Source organism: Homo sapiens, chromosome 15, assembly GCF_000001405.40.
Source record: "Homo sapiens chromosome 15, GRCh38.p14 Primary Assembly".
Taxonomy (NCBI): domain Eukaryota; kingdom Metazoa; phylum Chordata; class Mammalia; order Primates; family Hominidae; genus Homo; species Homo sapiens.
This window is the reverse complement of record NC_000015.10, coordinates 80,148,421-80,163,603: the sequence shown is the minus strand read 5'-3', so window position 1 is coordinate 80,163,603 and position 15,183 is coordinate 80,148,421. Positions and strand designations below refer to the sequence as shown.

The 15,183-nt window shown below is 49.9% G+C and overlaps 1 protein-coding gene across 3 annotated transcripts in view, besides 5 other annotated features; it reads right to left on the bottom strand.

Moving 5' to 3' along the window:
- FAH (fumarylacetoacetate hydrolase) overlaps positions 1–10,815 on the bottom strand; it is a 34,161-nt gene extending 23,346 nt beyond the window's left edge. Inside the window, exons 1-6 of one of the 3 annotated variants that reach the window (NM_001374377.1) lie at positions 10,699–10,815; positions 10,469–10,578; positions 5,434–5,544; positions 3,727–3,848; positions 3,145–3,194; positions 1,268–1,358 (exon numbers count right to left, since the gene is read on the bottom strand). In NM_001374377.1, the coding sequence (NP_001361306.1) occupies positions 1,268–1,358; positions 3,145–3,194; positions 3,727–3,848; positions 5,434–5,544; positions 10,469–10,549 (455 nt within the window). In that variant the 5' untranslated portion in view covers positions 10,550–10,578; positions 10,699–10,815. Of the gene's footprint in view, positions 1–1,267; positions 1,359–3,144; positions 3,195–3,726; positions 3,849–5,433; positions 5,545–10,468; positions 10,606–10,698 lie in introns of those variants that run through there. The other 2 variants (NM_001374380.1, NM_000137.4) reach the window with 2 other exon arrangements.
- Positions 2,093–2,735: an enhancer, noted in NCBI's record as "H3K27ac-H3K4me1 hESC enhancer chr15:80453211-80453853 (GRCh37/hg19 assembly coordinates)". NCBI's record gives its function as "activates a minimal SCP1, AML or CMV promoter by ChIP-STARR-seq in primed H9 embryonic stem cells {active_cell/tissue: H9 hESC(primed)}" and the evidence as "EXISTENCE:reporter gene assay evidence [ECO:0000049][PMID:30033119]".
- Positions 2,093–3,379: a biological region, named in NCBI's record as "H3K27ac-H3K4me1 hESC enhancers GRCh37_chr15:80452567-80453210 and GRCh37_chr15:80453211-80453853".
- Positions 2,663–2,957: an enhancer, noted in NCBI's record as "tiled region #12283; HepG2 Activating DNase unmatched - State 5:Enh, and K562 Activating DNase matched - State 5:Enh". NCBI's record gives its function as "activates a minimal TATA promoter and a strong SV40 promoter by Sharpr-MPRA in HepG2 and K562 cells {active_cell/tissue: HepG2 | K562}" and the evidence as "EXISTENCE:reporter gene assay evidence [ECO:0000049][PMID:27701403]".
- Positions 2,736–3,379: an enhancer, noted in NCBI's record as "H3K27ac-H3K4me1 hESC enhancer chr15:80452567-80453210 (GRCh37/hg19 assembly coordinates)". NCBI's record gives its function as "activates a minimal SCP1, AML or CMV promoter by ChIP-STARR-seq in primed H9 embryonic stem cells {active_cell/tissue: H9 hESC(primed)}" and the evidence as "EXISTENCE:reporter gene assay evidence [ECO:0000049][PMID:30033119]".
- Positions 10,617–11,176: a silencer, noted in NCBI's record as "silent region_6731". NCBI's record gives its function as "represses an Ori minimal core promoter by ATAC-STARR-seq in GM12878 lymphoblastoid cells {active_cell/tissue: GM12878}" and the evidence as "EXISTENCE:reporter gene assay evidence [ECO:0000049][PMID:35858748]".

The following is a 15,183-nucleotide window of genomic DNA, read 5'->3' as shown; positions in this document are numbered from 1 at the left end:
TCAAACATGGCTAGAGAAGGCCTGTTTACTCTTATTCTGCAGAAGGACATGGGGCAAGGATGGCTGCGGCCCCCACACTCGGTTTCAGACACAGTCAACACTCATTTCCCAGGTCCCGGCTCTCCTCTCACTTCCTGGTGCCCCTGCCCTTTGGCCACTGGGATCCTGGCACACAGGTGACAGCCAGCTCTTCTGGGGCTGGGCAGTCCACTGGGTCATCACTGCCAAGGACACTCATATAGACACTCAGCCCATCAGATAGACAAGTTGAAGCTGGCTGGGGACAAATACAGCCTGGAGCCTGTACAGTGCAAGATTCTCAAATATTTGCGCATCTCACGTGGAAGCCTGGAACCTGGAGCCTGGGTTCTGGTCTCAGATTCACCCCTGCCTCATTCTGCAACCTTGGCCTTGTTGTTCAACATCTCTGGCTTGGAACTGCTCTCTCTCCCTTTCTTTCTTCCTCATCTTGGTTCTAACAGACCCTCCCCTCATGGCATAGCCTACTGGAGACACTCACTCGAGAGAGAGTAAAGCCCCGTCCCTAACCCAGCTCCTGTGTGTGACTGATGGCACTGGGGCCTGGAGTGTATGCCTGCCACTGAGTCCAGGCCCTCTTCAGTTCCAAGGAACCATCACATCCAGGGGACAACACAGAACAAAGGGCAAGGATCCCAGCTCTGCATCCTCAGCTTGGTCAATGGCCTGATCTGGGGGCTGGGAGACAGGCTGTGGCCCTGTTGTGCTCAGGCAAGTTGATCCTTCTCTGAGCCCATTTTCCTGTCTGTAAAATGGGGCTTACAATCATGGCCTTGTGACATCAGAGAACTACTACGAGGATCAAACAAATGAATGAAACCGATCACATGTTGAGGAATATACAGCACTGGGCACATTTGAGGATTCTCATTCATCAGAAAATGTAAGTATGGAGCATGCTAGAGTCTAAGACTTGCCCATAGTACAATAATACACAGCTTATAAATGAAAGACTCCAGAAGGAGCATAGGGATTAAGGGAATCTAATTCCAACCCCTGCTGTCCAAGGAAGTTTAAGGGACTTGCCCTTCGATCCCACAGCAAGTCCTAAGCCAAGCTGAGCAGGAGACCAGAAGCTGAGACCACTGCTTCCAGAGGTTGCAACATCATAACTGCTTTTCCTCCCCAGTTTACTTTAAGAAGAACTTGGCAGCTCCTGAGACAAATATGCTGCTGGAAATGAAAAGAAAGACTTTGAACTTATGCAGACATTTGGCCCAGTTCATACCAATTTGGCATCAACGCATTCTCCTTGTCCCTGAACATGATTCCGACGTTGGTAGCATGCTGCCGAGAGGAATAGAAGTCTGTGTAGTCTCCTGCAGAGGAAAGACCCAACAGATCCCATCAGCAACCCACATGCCTCAGGAAGAATGGACTGTTCCAAGCACTGGAGCCACGAGTGTGCACACAATACTGTTTACACATCCAGAGCTCAGCCTGCAGCCAGCAATGGCAGCACCAAATGCAATATAAAATATCCTCACTGAAGATTTGTTTTTAGAGCCCTCAGCTGAGAAACAAATAAGAAATCAGGAGTCCAGACTTTCTGAAACTGACAGTGGAATGTGAACACCAAGTGGCTGATACCACCTCCCTTCTCAGGCTCCCCACTTTTCCCACACACAACTGCCATTCCCGAGTTCCCACAGGCTCCCTCACCACGCCTATACTGATTGACTTCTCCCTTGTCCCTGTGTATTCAAATCCTGGCAACTCTTTGAGGCCCGCTCCTCCCTGAAGCCCTCCCTGCTCTCTCTAGCAGGATCTCTTCCCCCTCCAAATCCCCTCCCCTGAATCCTTCTGGGGCAGGCTTCGCTTCCCACTGGTGCTCCAGTTATGTGTGTGCACATCTTTGCTAGACTGTGGACATTCCAGGACAGCCCCAGCCCAGTCCTCATTTTCTTGGACTCTGCCCGAGTGCCAAGGACAAGGGCTTGCACACTGCAGATGCATATCAGTGCTTGTTGATTATGATGAACTGAATGGGCTAGCCAGCAAGCTGTAGGCATATCTACCATTCGGAGAATTAAAAATCTGAAAGAAAAACCAGTTGGGACAGTCTGCCTGTTTTATCTTCCTAAATGTCTCCTCAAAAAAAAAAAATGCTGGATATTCATCAATACCAACAGCCTAGACTAGCAACAGTCATGGTGAAGGGTGAGGAGAGGAAGAACAGTCCACAGGGCAGGTGGAGCCTTAGCTGCTGCTTCCCATCTTCAGTCCCATTGCACAGAAGTAATAGCTGAGAGATTTTTCAAAAGAATAAATCCATAACAAAAAAAAAAAAAAACAAGAAAGGGCACCATCAGTCAACCAGACATGATATCCCTGAAAGACATATGGTTTGCACAACAGCTGGTTTGCCAAAACATAGCACAGTCCCATGAGTGTATGAGAGTGGGGAGTGAGAGGGGCTGGGAGGAGGCAGGTGACTCGGCCCCTGTCCCCAACCCCATCCTCCAGTCAGCTTAGCCCAAGCAGCCCAGCAGCAAAGGACTCTCCCCGGACAGCAGGAGCTGTTCCAGAGAGGCAGTGTACCCCAGGGGCAGGGTCAACTGGCCCCTCAGCTCACAGGTGCCCAGGTAGCCCAGCAGAGGAGACCTGTGCACAAGGAAGAGGGCTGTGCTTTGGGCCGCAGGCTGAGCCAGCCTCTCTCTCTGCTTCAGGTTGAGAGTTTCAACAGCTCCAACTTCCTGAATGACACTCCAACCAGACATCCTGCCACGTGCTCAAACTGGGGCCCTTCATAGCCCTCTGGCCTCTATCCTCAAAACTGCTGACTCACAGACTGAGCTCAGAGAATTTGTCCCATAGCCTTTGGGGGAAGGAAAGCAATTTGCTGTGCAGGGAGCCATGCGGCTAGTCATGAACTTGAGCAGTCTGCAACTCACTACCTGAGGCAAGATAATAGCCTGAGTGAATGCCGGGCCTGGATGCTGGGAAAGGTCAGTGATGAGGAGCGGGTAACAGCCCCAGAGCCCCTCCTCCATCTCCCCCCACCAGCAGGGACCCTCCACACAGATGCAGAACCAAAGCACCTGGCCAGCCCTCTTGGCCCACGAAGCTGCTCCGTTCTTATCTTGGTGAAGAGACTGCACTCACCTATGGTGGCTGGAAGGTGCATCGTGGCAGAAGCCTGGGAGATGAATGCACTGAAACACAGAACCAGGGGCTTCAAAGTCAAGTAGGCAGCAAAGCGCGGTCCCACCCACGGGCTCAGCCCAGACCATCCCCAAGATTATCCACAATCTCCAGTGGGCACCTTCTGGCTGGCCTGGGGCCAGAGCTATGCTGAACCTTTCACAGCTGAGAGGACATCCACCCACTGAAGCCGTTTCTATATTCTACCCTAGGAAATGGGACTAGACAAGTGGAAACTCTTTCCTACTCTAGAAACCAGATGAGGTCACAGATGATGCTAATGAGGACAGCCTGAGTAAGAGAGAGGGCCAATGGGCCTGGCCTGGCCTAGCTTGGGCAGCTCCATTCCAGGCGCCAAGGCAATCCCAGTCCTCCCAAAGCCCTCCCATCAATAGGCAGCTCAGGCAGGGGCTGGATGAGGGCAGGTCTGACTTGGCCACACTAAGGCTGCCAAGCCGTGACTCAGAATGGCACTGATAACCACACAGCCTTCACCTCCCCTGCTGCATCCCCTCATCCCCCCTATGACCACGTGCTTCTCACCACTTCCGAAGTTCGGTGTCATCTCTGAGCCTGGCTTGGCTCACAGACAGCAAGTTCTGCAAGAACACTCTCGCCTCCTTCCAGGCAGCCTGACCCAGGCCCATGAAGCTGTTGAGTGTAGGCTAAGACCAAAACAGGGAGAAAAAAGATCACGTACAGGAAAACCCAGGGAGTATCCCTCCTTCCAATGGAAGGCCAGCCAGCCTGCCAGCCCTTGCCACTTCTCTCCCGCTAACTCAAACTCTCAGGACCTCTGCTCTTAGTTTTGTCATTTATTCATCAACCTGGAGAAAAGCATATCCTCTCTTGACGTTGCCTCAGGCCCTCGTGCACCTGCACACAATTGTCCAAGCCCAGGAGTTGCTACCTGGCACAGCAACTGTGCTAAGCTTGGCCCGGCCCACAGTTGAAGGTGGCCATGTTCTTCCAGTAGAGGCACACTCCAGTCTGCAGAGTGATCACAGCCTAAACTAATTCCTTTCACATCAGTTAAGAAGAGGTTTTGGGCCAGGTGTGATGGCTCATGCCTGTAATCCCAGCACATTGGGAGGCCGAGGTGGAGGATCACTTGAGCCCAGGAGTTCAAGATCAGCCTGGGCAATATAGTGAGACTTCATCTCTATTAAAAAAAAAAAGTTGTTTTTTTTTTTCCCATTCTGTCACCCAGGCTGGAGTGCACTGATGTGATCTCGGCTCACTGCAACCTCTGCTTCCCAGGTTCAAGCAGTTCTCCTGCCTCAGCCTCCCGAGTAGCTGGGATTACAGGCGTGCACTGCCACACCCAGCTAATTTTTGTATTTTTAGTAGAGAGGGGGTTTCACCATGTTGGCCAGGCTGGTCTCGAACTCCTGACCTCAAGTGATCTGCCCACATCGGCCTCCCAAAGTGCTGGGGTTACAGGCGTGAGCCGAGAGGTTTTTTAATTTAAAAAAGGAAGAGGTTTTATAGCCAGTGAAGCATAGCAGAAAAAGCCCTTGTAGGTTCTAAGAGTCAGAGTTCCAGTCCCAGCTCTGATACTTCTAGCTGTGCAGCTTGGGAAAACCATGTCTCATTCCAGAAGTTCAGGTCCCCATCTAGATGCTCAGGCCCCCATAGGAATTCCAATTCCTATGCCAGAGGGTGGTCAGGAGGATTGAAGGAGAGGATGTGTGCGAAGCTCCTGGCACACAAGAGGTACCCATAAATCCCACCCTCCTTCCTGACCCATGCAATGAGAAGATGCTATATCAAAGTAGATGACCATTTACAGGGAAGCAAATTCATGTCCATCCCATGTGAACATGTACTTCAGGCTGACTCCTCCGTAGCTGCTTCCACAGAACTGGAGGGCTGGGCTCGTAGCTCCCTCCCTTGGGGGCCCACACAGCCCTTGGACAGGCAGAGGCTCAAACAGCTTGACAAGAAAAGTAACCAGAGTTCCTGAAGAGCTTCATCTCATAGACAACTAGGAACGACCCAGGACTGCAGACACTGACACTTTTTTCACCTAGGAACTCGCCCTGAGGTGAGAAGCCACCCTGAATTGTCCCAAGGCCACCTCCTACCAGTTTGTCTGTCTCAAAACAACCCCAGCCTTATCCAAGTATAACCTCTGAGACCTTCGATGGCATTACCTCTATCGGAAATGGAACGCAAGGAGCATTCTCTTGTTGGCATCCACAGTAAGTGCCACTGAGGTCAGGGACAAGTCGTTTCACAATGTCCTACCTGATTGAAGACATCCTGGTGTTTGGAGAGGACAGGACCAGTAAAGAGGTGCTTGATGATGCTGAGGTCCAGGATCTGGTCGCCAATGGCCACACCTATCCTCGGTCTTGGCTAGGAGGAAGACGACACCGTCAGCACCAGAAAAAGCCCCTGGCTGGGCTTGGCTCATTTACTCAGAAAGCCTATCTATTGAAGAGTCCACAGGTCCCCCTTTAGGTGGCCCTGTATGCAGAGCGGACTGAAGAACCATGTTCTCAGCATCCTGCCCCAGCTCCCTTGTGCCATCTCTGCTTCCAGAACTAAAAGGAAAAATAATCTGTGTTCCCTGAATGGGAAAGAAATCAAATATCCCTTGGACTGGGGGAAGAGCAGTCAGCCTGGTCCTAGCCACTTAACCTGGGCAAAGACCCCTGCAAAGTTCCCTAGGCATTACATAAATGCCTCCAGTGATGAGGAGCTTACCACCTTACCAGGATGTTGGATTATTTTCCAGGTTTCTAGGCCTTGACTAGGGTAGTTCAGTTGTGCGGTGGAGCATGAGTGCCCAACACACAGTGCTGAGGGCCAGGTGGCTTGGATTAATGAGCTCTGTTGTAGCTCAAATGGAGGAGAGCTCGGGTTGTAAGGGAGCTGCAGGAAGCCAGACTGCTCAGAACATGCAAGGCAAGTTCCTTTCTGTACCACAAAATCCCAGCATCAACAAAGATGTCTTAAATATTTGTTAAGTCCTGGTCTTTGTCCCCACAACCCTGAGCTTTGCTCGTCAACAAGAACCCGAGGGCATGTTTGCAGACTCAACTTCCCAGGGCTCTGTCCTGAGCCAGGCTTCCAGCTCTCCTGAACCACCAGCTTGGCCATTTCAGTGCCAGCGAGCTTAGTGGTGGGATTATTGGCTGGCCTTATCTCCATTGGCTGCTCACTGGGGTGGGCTGAGAAAAGATGACCATTTCTCCACGCATGTCAGCTCTTGGAATCGGGGTAGACCAGAGCCATACTCCTCATCTGAGGTCCCAGCAGAGCCTACCCTAGAAGAGGCTGCCTGGAGAGCTTAGTTACTCATTCTCAGCCCCACTGCCAACTCCCTGGGCCTCAGTCTTCCCCTCCTGAAAATGGCAAATCTGCTTTAGGCAAAGAGCTGAACCACCTGAATCCAAGTGGCTTTCCATTCAGGGAATGTGCAGGGCAGACCCTTGGACCACATCTCTGACCCTGGTCCCCACACCCCAGCTGAAGGCAAGAAGGAGTCACCACCAGTAAGCAACTTCCAAAATGGGGTCACAAGTGCAGCTGCCTGCTGCCTCAAATGCAAACAAAGCCTAGAAGCTTCAAACTTGTGCTTCAAACTATGACCTGAGGACCCAGAAAAAGTCTGAGAGAGTGAGTCCCTCTACTTTCAACCTTGGGAGTTATTTTCTTCAGCACAAAACTAGAGGGGGCTCACAGGTCAGATCCAGGATTCCTGGGCTCCAAGTCTGCTCCCTCATTCACCATCTTATCACCTTGGACAAGTCTCTGGGCCTCAGTTTCCCATCTGCAACTTGAGGGAAACAAACTAAGGAGGGAGACCGCATTTGTCTAACTTCAAGAGAATGAATGTGCATTGCCTTTGTTTTAAAATAGTTGGTCATATCTGATATAAAGTTGTCCAAAGGAAAGCATTACCCAACTCCCAGCCTGACATAGAGGGGGAAGCATGGGATTGGTGTGGGCGAAGGATTACCCAGGTGCCGAGGCAAGAGACTGAAGGCATAAACTGTAGCTATACTGCTATACAGTTGTAATACAAATTAGATATACAGATGATCATGGACAATTATCGATTATTAGTATAAACATTATTAATCATTAGTTTTTAATATTACTCTTTATTGTAGTACAATATAACCTAGGAATAACCGGTGGGTATAGGGTCAGGTACTGAAGGGACATTCTGAGAAGTGACCTAGAAGGCAAGAGGTGAGCCCTGTCACACCCGCATAAGGGCCGCTTGAGCGCTCCTTGGTCAAGCGGTAACGCCAGTGCCTGGGAAGGCACCCATTACTTAGCAGACCGCAAAAGGGAGTCTCCCTTTCCTTGGAGGAGTCAGGGAACACTCTGCTCCACCAGCTTCCTGTAGGAGGCTGGATATTATCCAGGCCTGCCCGCAGTCATCTGGAGGCCTAAACCCCTCCCTGTGGTGCTGTGCTTCAATGGTCACGCTCCTTGTCCACTTTCATGTTCCTCCTGTACTCCTGGTTCCTCTTTGAAGTTTGTAGTAGATAGCGGTAGAAGAAATAGCGAAAGTCTTAAAGTCTTTGATCTTTCTTATAAGTGCATAGAAGAAAATGCTGACTTATGCTGCCTTCCCTCTCTGCTTCGGCTACCTTAGAGGGAAGAGCCCCCGTCCCATGATCACATGACTTGCTTGACCTTATCAATCACTTGGATGACTCACCCTCCCTACCCTGCCCCCCTTGTCTTGTGTGCAATAAATATCAGTGTGCCCAGCCATTCGGGGCCACTACCGGTCTCTGTGTCTCAGTGGTAGCAGTGCCCCGGGCCCAGCTGTTCTCTCTTTATCTCTTTGTCTTGTGTCTTTATTTCTTACAATCTCTCGTTTCCGCACACAGGGAGAAAACCCGCTAAGCCCCGTAGGGCTGGACCTTACAGATTGGGAGGCTGACAGATGTGGGGATCAACCCCATATCTGCCTCTTACTGGCTGTGAGATCTGGAGCATGATGCTTTGCCTCTCTGGACCTCAGTTTCCTCATCTGTAGAATGGGGACAATAACTTCACAGTAGGTTTATTGTGAGAATTTAATTAATATCTGTAAATCTCTCACCACAAGAACAGACACAGGGTAGACGCTATTCATGCCACAAAGATTTAGAGAGCATCTTCTCAGTACCAGCATTACACAAAGGCTGCTGAGGCCCTGGGAACAGTGACGTGGTTCCTTCTCTCCAGAAGCAAAAGGAAACACAGGGTGTGGTGAGAGATAACCAAGGCTGGGCCGCAGCGGGGAGCTCATTCAGAGAGGGTGCTTAGGAGGTGACATTTAAGCTGAGTCCCAAAGAGTGAGAAGGGGCCAAGCATATAGAGAGCAGAAGGACGAGTATTCCAGGCAGAAGGAACAACATGTGCTAAGGCCTGAAGGCAGGAAGCTGCTCTTAGCACATCTCAGAGACTCAAAGGCAGCCAATGTGGCTGGAGAAAGCAGAGGCCAGGAGGCAGCAGCACAGCCAGACCACGGGGACTTTAACAAGGCACCCGGCAAAACCAGCTCCACACTACTACAACCCCGTTCTCAGAGGCCACCACCCCTACCTTCACAGAGAGCACCCCTGTACACCTTACTAGTCCATCAACCAGAAATGGAAGGAAGGCGTCTCCTGTGTCTTTGATGCCAACTCGGAGCCCAGGCAAAATCTGGACCAGAGTTGGGGTTCATAAGCATTCGCTGAATAAAAAAAAATGAATAAAGTGATGGCAGGATTCATTGTTATTCCACTCAAATTAGGAAAGGCTGACTGCTGACATGGGGGAAGGGAGGTTTTGCCTTGGCAACTAGTCTTGCCTGGCAAGGCAGCCATCACGGTTGGAATGTCCAATGCCTGCAGAGAAAGCTTCAGAAGAGGCTTGTTCAGCTGGAAGGCCAAAGGGCCAACTCTCCACCCCCAGCACTGTATCAGAGGACAGCGGAATGGGGCTCTCTCTTCCAGACATCTGTAGTGGCTGCCCTGCACATTCTGATGTTGAAACAGCGGGACATGGTGTCTGAAAACACCTAGCCACACTCTAACGGATATTAATTCGATTCCCCTGAGAAAGCAAGTCAGAGCTCCCTACTGGGGTGTGCCTGCCTCTCACAAATGTTTCTGTCTAATGGATTTGTGCTCCCAGGAAAGGTGAGGGAGGACACATCTGCCGAGGGCAAAGTGTTTGAGGAGGGCAGAGGGAGGGCTCTGTCTGCAGAAAGGTTGTTGGCCATCACAAGTTAAGATTTAATGTGCCTCAGATTGTGTCCTCCAGGGGATTGAGTGTCCACTTTCTGTATCCTTGCAACATCTGGTCAGCCCGGCCAGATGTGAAACCACAAGTTGACTCTTCTAGACCAAAGCACTTACCGCAGACAGGCCCACAAAAGGCCAGCCACTTGCATCCAATGACAAGCCATGGGGGAAGGAGGGAACCCCACTTTCCAAGAAGAAGCCAACTGCCAGGCCCCTCGTTTAGCAAACATTTCCTGATTCTGGGGTTCTATGGCTTACAGAGATGAATCAGGAGTTTACCTTTAAAGTTGGGAGCAGAAATCTAAGCCAAAAATATCATCAACAAATCCAAGGGAATCTGCTTTTCCAACCTAGGGAACCTCTTATTATCTATTTGCTGATAAACCCCCAGTTTTCAAATACTTCTTTCTACCAATCAGACTACACTGACTTAGTCAAAGTTTGTTTCCCTGCCCTCTTTCTTCTGATCAGTAGGGGAATGCCAGGGAGCCCACACCAGGAGCTGAAAGAATTTCAGCTATAGGCAGAGACACTTGCCATCTTAGATCTCACAACTCTAAGCCAAGAAACGCGCGTGCCCCTCTGACCTGCTACGCATACCGGGTTATCATTTCCCGGGTTCTAGGGTTAGGGGCTATCCAGCGAGATGAACCACCAGCCCTGACCTGGCCTCTTGGGCGAGAGAAACACACCGCAACCACCTCGGAGTAGGCAGCATGCCTGTGTGCTGCAGCTTCCGGTAACAGAATCCTGCTTGCTCTGCTTGTCTGGGAGAGTGACACGATTCATTTCATTTTGCATTTAATTCTCAGCAAACCTGCGGACAATGAGGCTGAAAAGTTAAACAACGTGCACAGCTAGAAAGTTACGAGGCGGGACTCGAGCCCATAGGCACTCTCACGGAACGAATCTTAAGAGAAAAATGGCACAAGCCTCCATCCCGCCCCTCATTCCACTCCATTCCACTCCACTCCACTCCACTCCACTCCACTCCACTCCACTCCCTCCCCGCGCCCGGACGCCAAAGCCCCACTGCTCACGTCGCCTCTGGTCGAGAAGACGCCGTAGGGCAGGTTGTGGATGGGGAAGTCGGAATCCTCGGCCACCGGGATGAAGGACATGCTGAAGAGCACCCGGCACGGCTGCGGGCCTAAGGTGGCGTGCGGAGAGCAGGACTGAACTCGGCCGCTGTGGTCAGGCCCGGCCCCGCCCCCCTGCCCGCCCCCACGGCCTGTCCGGGTGACACAGCAGGGACCCCGGAGGCTCCTACCTGACTTTTGGTCTCACCGTGAACACCCCGCCCCCGAACCCCGAGCCCTGCCCCTCCCCCCTACCCTGACCCCCGCCAGCTCCAGGTCCTCCACAGTCTCGCCCGCCCTTCCAGAGCCCCGCCCCGCCCCTGGCCCCGCCCCCGTGGGCCTCAGGTCCTCCAGTCTCTCCTCCCTCCCTGAGCCCCGCCCCTCCCCTTGCCCCGACCCCGCGAGCCCCAGGTCCTCCACAGTCTCACCCTCCCTCCCTGAGCCCCGCCCCTCCCCTCGCCCCGCCCCTCCCCTCGCCCCGCCTTGCAAGCCCCAGGTCATCCAGTCTCTCCCTCCCTCCCTGAGCCCCGCCCCTCCCCTGGCCCGGGTACCCGAGAGTCCCAGGCCCTCCAGTCTTGCCTCACTCCCCGAGCCCCGCCCCTCCCCTGGCCCCGCCCCCGTCCTGATCCCCGCCCTGTCCGCGAGTCCACGTGGGGGAGATCTGGTTCCAGCCCCCGCTCGGGGCAGCTAGCTGGTCCTACCGAGAGCAAACCCCAGCTTAGCATTTAAGGCTCTGCCCTGCATGACTCCAGCCTCGCTCGCCCCGGCTGCTGCCCTGCTCTTCAGCTCAACAGAACTCTTGTCCGCTTCCTGGAAACACTTTCTCCCCAAGAGCTGCTCCCTGAGCTTCAGAAGAACACCCAGTCGCGTCCTTTCTGCCTTCATACCATGATGCTCCGTCCAGCTATGACACTTCCACTTGTATGTCAGAGAAGGGGACAGTTAGGCCTGTTTGGAAGGCTTCAATTAATGAGAATTAATATTCTAAAAAATATAACTCACCTGTTTCACATGCCAGTAGTAAAATGACGTTGACAAGATGCTCAACCTTGGACAAGTTACTTAAACTTTCTCTACCTCAGCTTCCTTCTCTGTATAATGTTGATGATAATAGTTCCTACTTCACAAAGTTGATATAAGAATGGAATGAATTAATATTTGTGAAGCACCTAGAATAGTGCCTGGCATATACAGGTTATGTGTGTGTGGAAAGAGAGAGAAGGGAGGGAAAAAGAGGAAAGGAGGGGAGGGGGATAAAGGAAAGGAAAGATAAAAGAGAAATAGGAGAAGAGAGAGAGGGAGAAAGAAAAGAAGGAAGACAGGAAAGAAGGGAAAGGCAGACTATCTTAGGGTGGGTTCAAGGTGTTATCTAATCACTCATGTGCAGTCAGCTGCAGTTTTTTGAGACCATGCCACAGCCAGGACACTTGGAACACACCGGAGAGTGTGTCGTTGTGTTATTGTTGGTGTGAATGATTCAGGTACACTTTTAAACAGCCAGGATGCCGGCTGAAATCTAGAAAAGTAGACGATAGTCTGGGCAAGGGTTCCCTGAAGATCCTTGAGGAATGTGACACAGTGACTGCTGAGTTAGGGAGGCTGCTCCGCATTTCAGCTTAGGGAGAAGAGGCTGGAAGATGGCAGGATAATGTGAGCTAAGTGGGCTTGAAACCAGACGGCTTGAGAGGAGCGAGTACGGCAAGCAGGGCCCGCTGTTGAGCCCCCCTTCCTAGCCCCTGAGATCACTCTGGTGCCTGTCCACCAGGCGTGACCAGTGATCATCACCCAGTAAGGAGTGTAATCTGGGCACAGCCTCTTGGCTCTCATCTCCTGCCCTGAGTGGCTCTGCCAAGGACTGGCTTCAGTTCTTTTAAGTCAGCCCTGGGGAGGGAATGAAGGTGGTCTGATTTGTTCTGGTAGGTTCCTGAAAGAGGAAAAGAAGAGGAGAGTATCCCAACTTGGTGGCCTTATAAAGAGGCATTCCAGGGAGCACTTGATACCTGCCTAATTCAAGCTAGTCCTCAGCTGCAACGCAATGAATTATTTCCACGTTCTGTAGTTGCCCTGCCCCTTCCCATTAAAACCACGAGCTTTCTTATTCCATGTGCAACTCTGTCAATACCCAGCAAAACACCTGGCACAGAATAGGTTCTCCATAAATACATGTCATTAATATAAAACTGTTGACCAAAAGGAAATGAAGCAATAACTAATAAGCCCATGCCCTATGCCAGGCCATGGGGATACACCAGCAACTCACATCTTTAATTCCTGTTTTTATGGAGCATGTGTTGTGTGGGGGATGCTAGGCCAGGAGCTTCTACTGAATACATACAAGTTAACAAAAGCCTAAATGATAAAACCCTTGGAGAAAGAAAACCAAAGTATTTTAGGGAAAGGACATGGGGCAGATGTATGTGTAGGAAAGGGTGTGGGGATGAGATGGCTAAAGAGGGAGTAAGATTTCATAGTTTTAAAATAGACTTAACCAACCCACTAATTATACACAGTGTCTGAAAACGCCAAAGCTGTTCTCTATTTGGAAAACAGCATTTGAAATAACTTGCAAGTATACTATATTTTTTCTTTCTCATTTTTTGGAAGAGAATGTGTTGGCCACGTATATCACAACAATTATTTAAAAAGAATTTTAAAACAAAGAGATTGCCCATAATCCCACCAATGTAGTCTTCTCATTTTCATGTTTTTTTTTCATTCCATTTGTATGCACATGGCTTTTCCATCCTTATAAACTTTACATAGATGCAATTTTTCAGTCTTTCCCTACCTTATTCTCTTGAATATTTTTCCTTGAGGCCCAATAGGCTTTATTATGATCATTGTCATTAGCTAAGGAAGTCGCAATGTTTTAGATGGTAATAATAACGGTTCAATGAAGAGGTGCATGCACAGAATGTTTTCCTTTTCCTTGACAATTATCTAAGGAAGATTCCTGACTCAAAGAGTATGAACACTTTCAGGACTCGCAGTGAGTTTCAGCATCTCCAGCAATGAAGGCTGGTTTGGGTCTCTGTAGCACCATATTTAATGCCTCCCTCTGATGCTAAAAAGCAACACACTGCACTGCAGCCCTCATTCACACAAAGCATGTCCCTCACTCCTTTACAAGAGAGCTGAGAGAGAACTTTCCAGATCCAGGACACTAATGTCTTGCAACGGCTCTGAGAAGCTGGCAGTTGCCATTCAGATAAGCAAGGTGTGGACGCTGCCTGCACTGGGAAGCAGGATGGGGTGGCCTTTTTTGCAACATTCAGCACTGCTGCATGGTCGTCAAGAAAAAGAGGAAACTATGTCAAAGGCCAAGCACTTTAGCAAAGTAAGTGTCCTCTCTTTTTCAGGTCTGAGCTCAGTGATGTTTATGGTACACATTTTGTAGTGGGCATCATGGGTTTGGCATGTGTCCAGTACATTTTAGTATCAAGAATATATGTCATGTGCAAATATACATGACATTCTGTCCTCTCAAAGGAGTTCAAAATTTAGAGGATCTTGGAACTGAACGTAAGTAATTCAAGTGCAAGTGCATGTTGTAGGGTGGGGAGAAGGGGATTGGATGAAGTCCTAGGTGAACCAGCTCAACCAGGGCTAGGTTTTCTGCAATATAAATTTTCTTCTTCCTGCCCTCTTTAATTCTGTCTTTAGTCTGTTTCAGGTACTATTGTGTCTATGTTCTGATGGAATACTACCTCAAATCCATTTTGGATTTAAGCTGGATTTGCAAGACTCACAAATAACAAGCAGCACCTTAAATAAAGAACATGTCATTGCCATCTGACTTAATAATGTGTACCATATAATGAGTTCTCTGTTACCATTATCAAAGCAGGAGCCACTTTTTAGACTCTCCCTCACTGTTATTTCAACAAAATACTTCTAATTTTGTTTTGTTTTCTTATAACTAAATACATATTCAATAGTTTTCCCATCTGAATTATCCCTTTTTTCCCATCCAAATGTTCGGTGCCTTTTTGAGCTATAGCTGTGGATCCCACTCTGCTCCCAGAAATACAGAGGAATGTTGACACATAAGTTACAACCTCTGTATTCAACCTGTTTGGCACAGCTGAATAGATCATTCTCAGTGCCTCTCTCTGCAAACATTGTTTAGTTTGTCAACAATAAATCCACACTAAAATTTCCCTGTCTCTCTTTCGCTCTCTCTTTCTCTCTCTCTCTCTCTCTCTCTGTCACACACACACACACACACACACACACACACACACACACACTAAAGTTGGTTAGGCATGATTTTTCCTTGTGGCCCTTTCCCTAGATGTTGAACAAAAGGAAACAGTATGTGGTAACAGAATATATATGTCTGTTGTTGTTGTTGTTGGTTTGTTTTTTGTTATGTTTTGTTTTGTTTTGTTTTGTTTTGTTTTGAGACAAAGTCTCGCTCTGTTGCCCAGGCTGGAGTGCAGTAGCACGATCTCGGTTCACGGCAACCTCCACCTCCCAGGTTCAAGTGATTCTCCTGCCTCAGCCTCCCAACTAGCTGGGATTACAGGCTCACACCACCACACCTGGCTAATTTTTGTATTTTTGGTAGAGATGGGGTTTCACCATGTTGGTCAGGCTCGTCTTGAACTCCTGACCTCGTGATCTGCCCACCTCAGCCTCCCAAGTTGCTGGGATTACAGGCGTGAGCCCCTGCA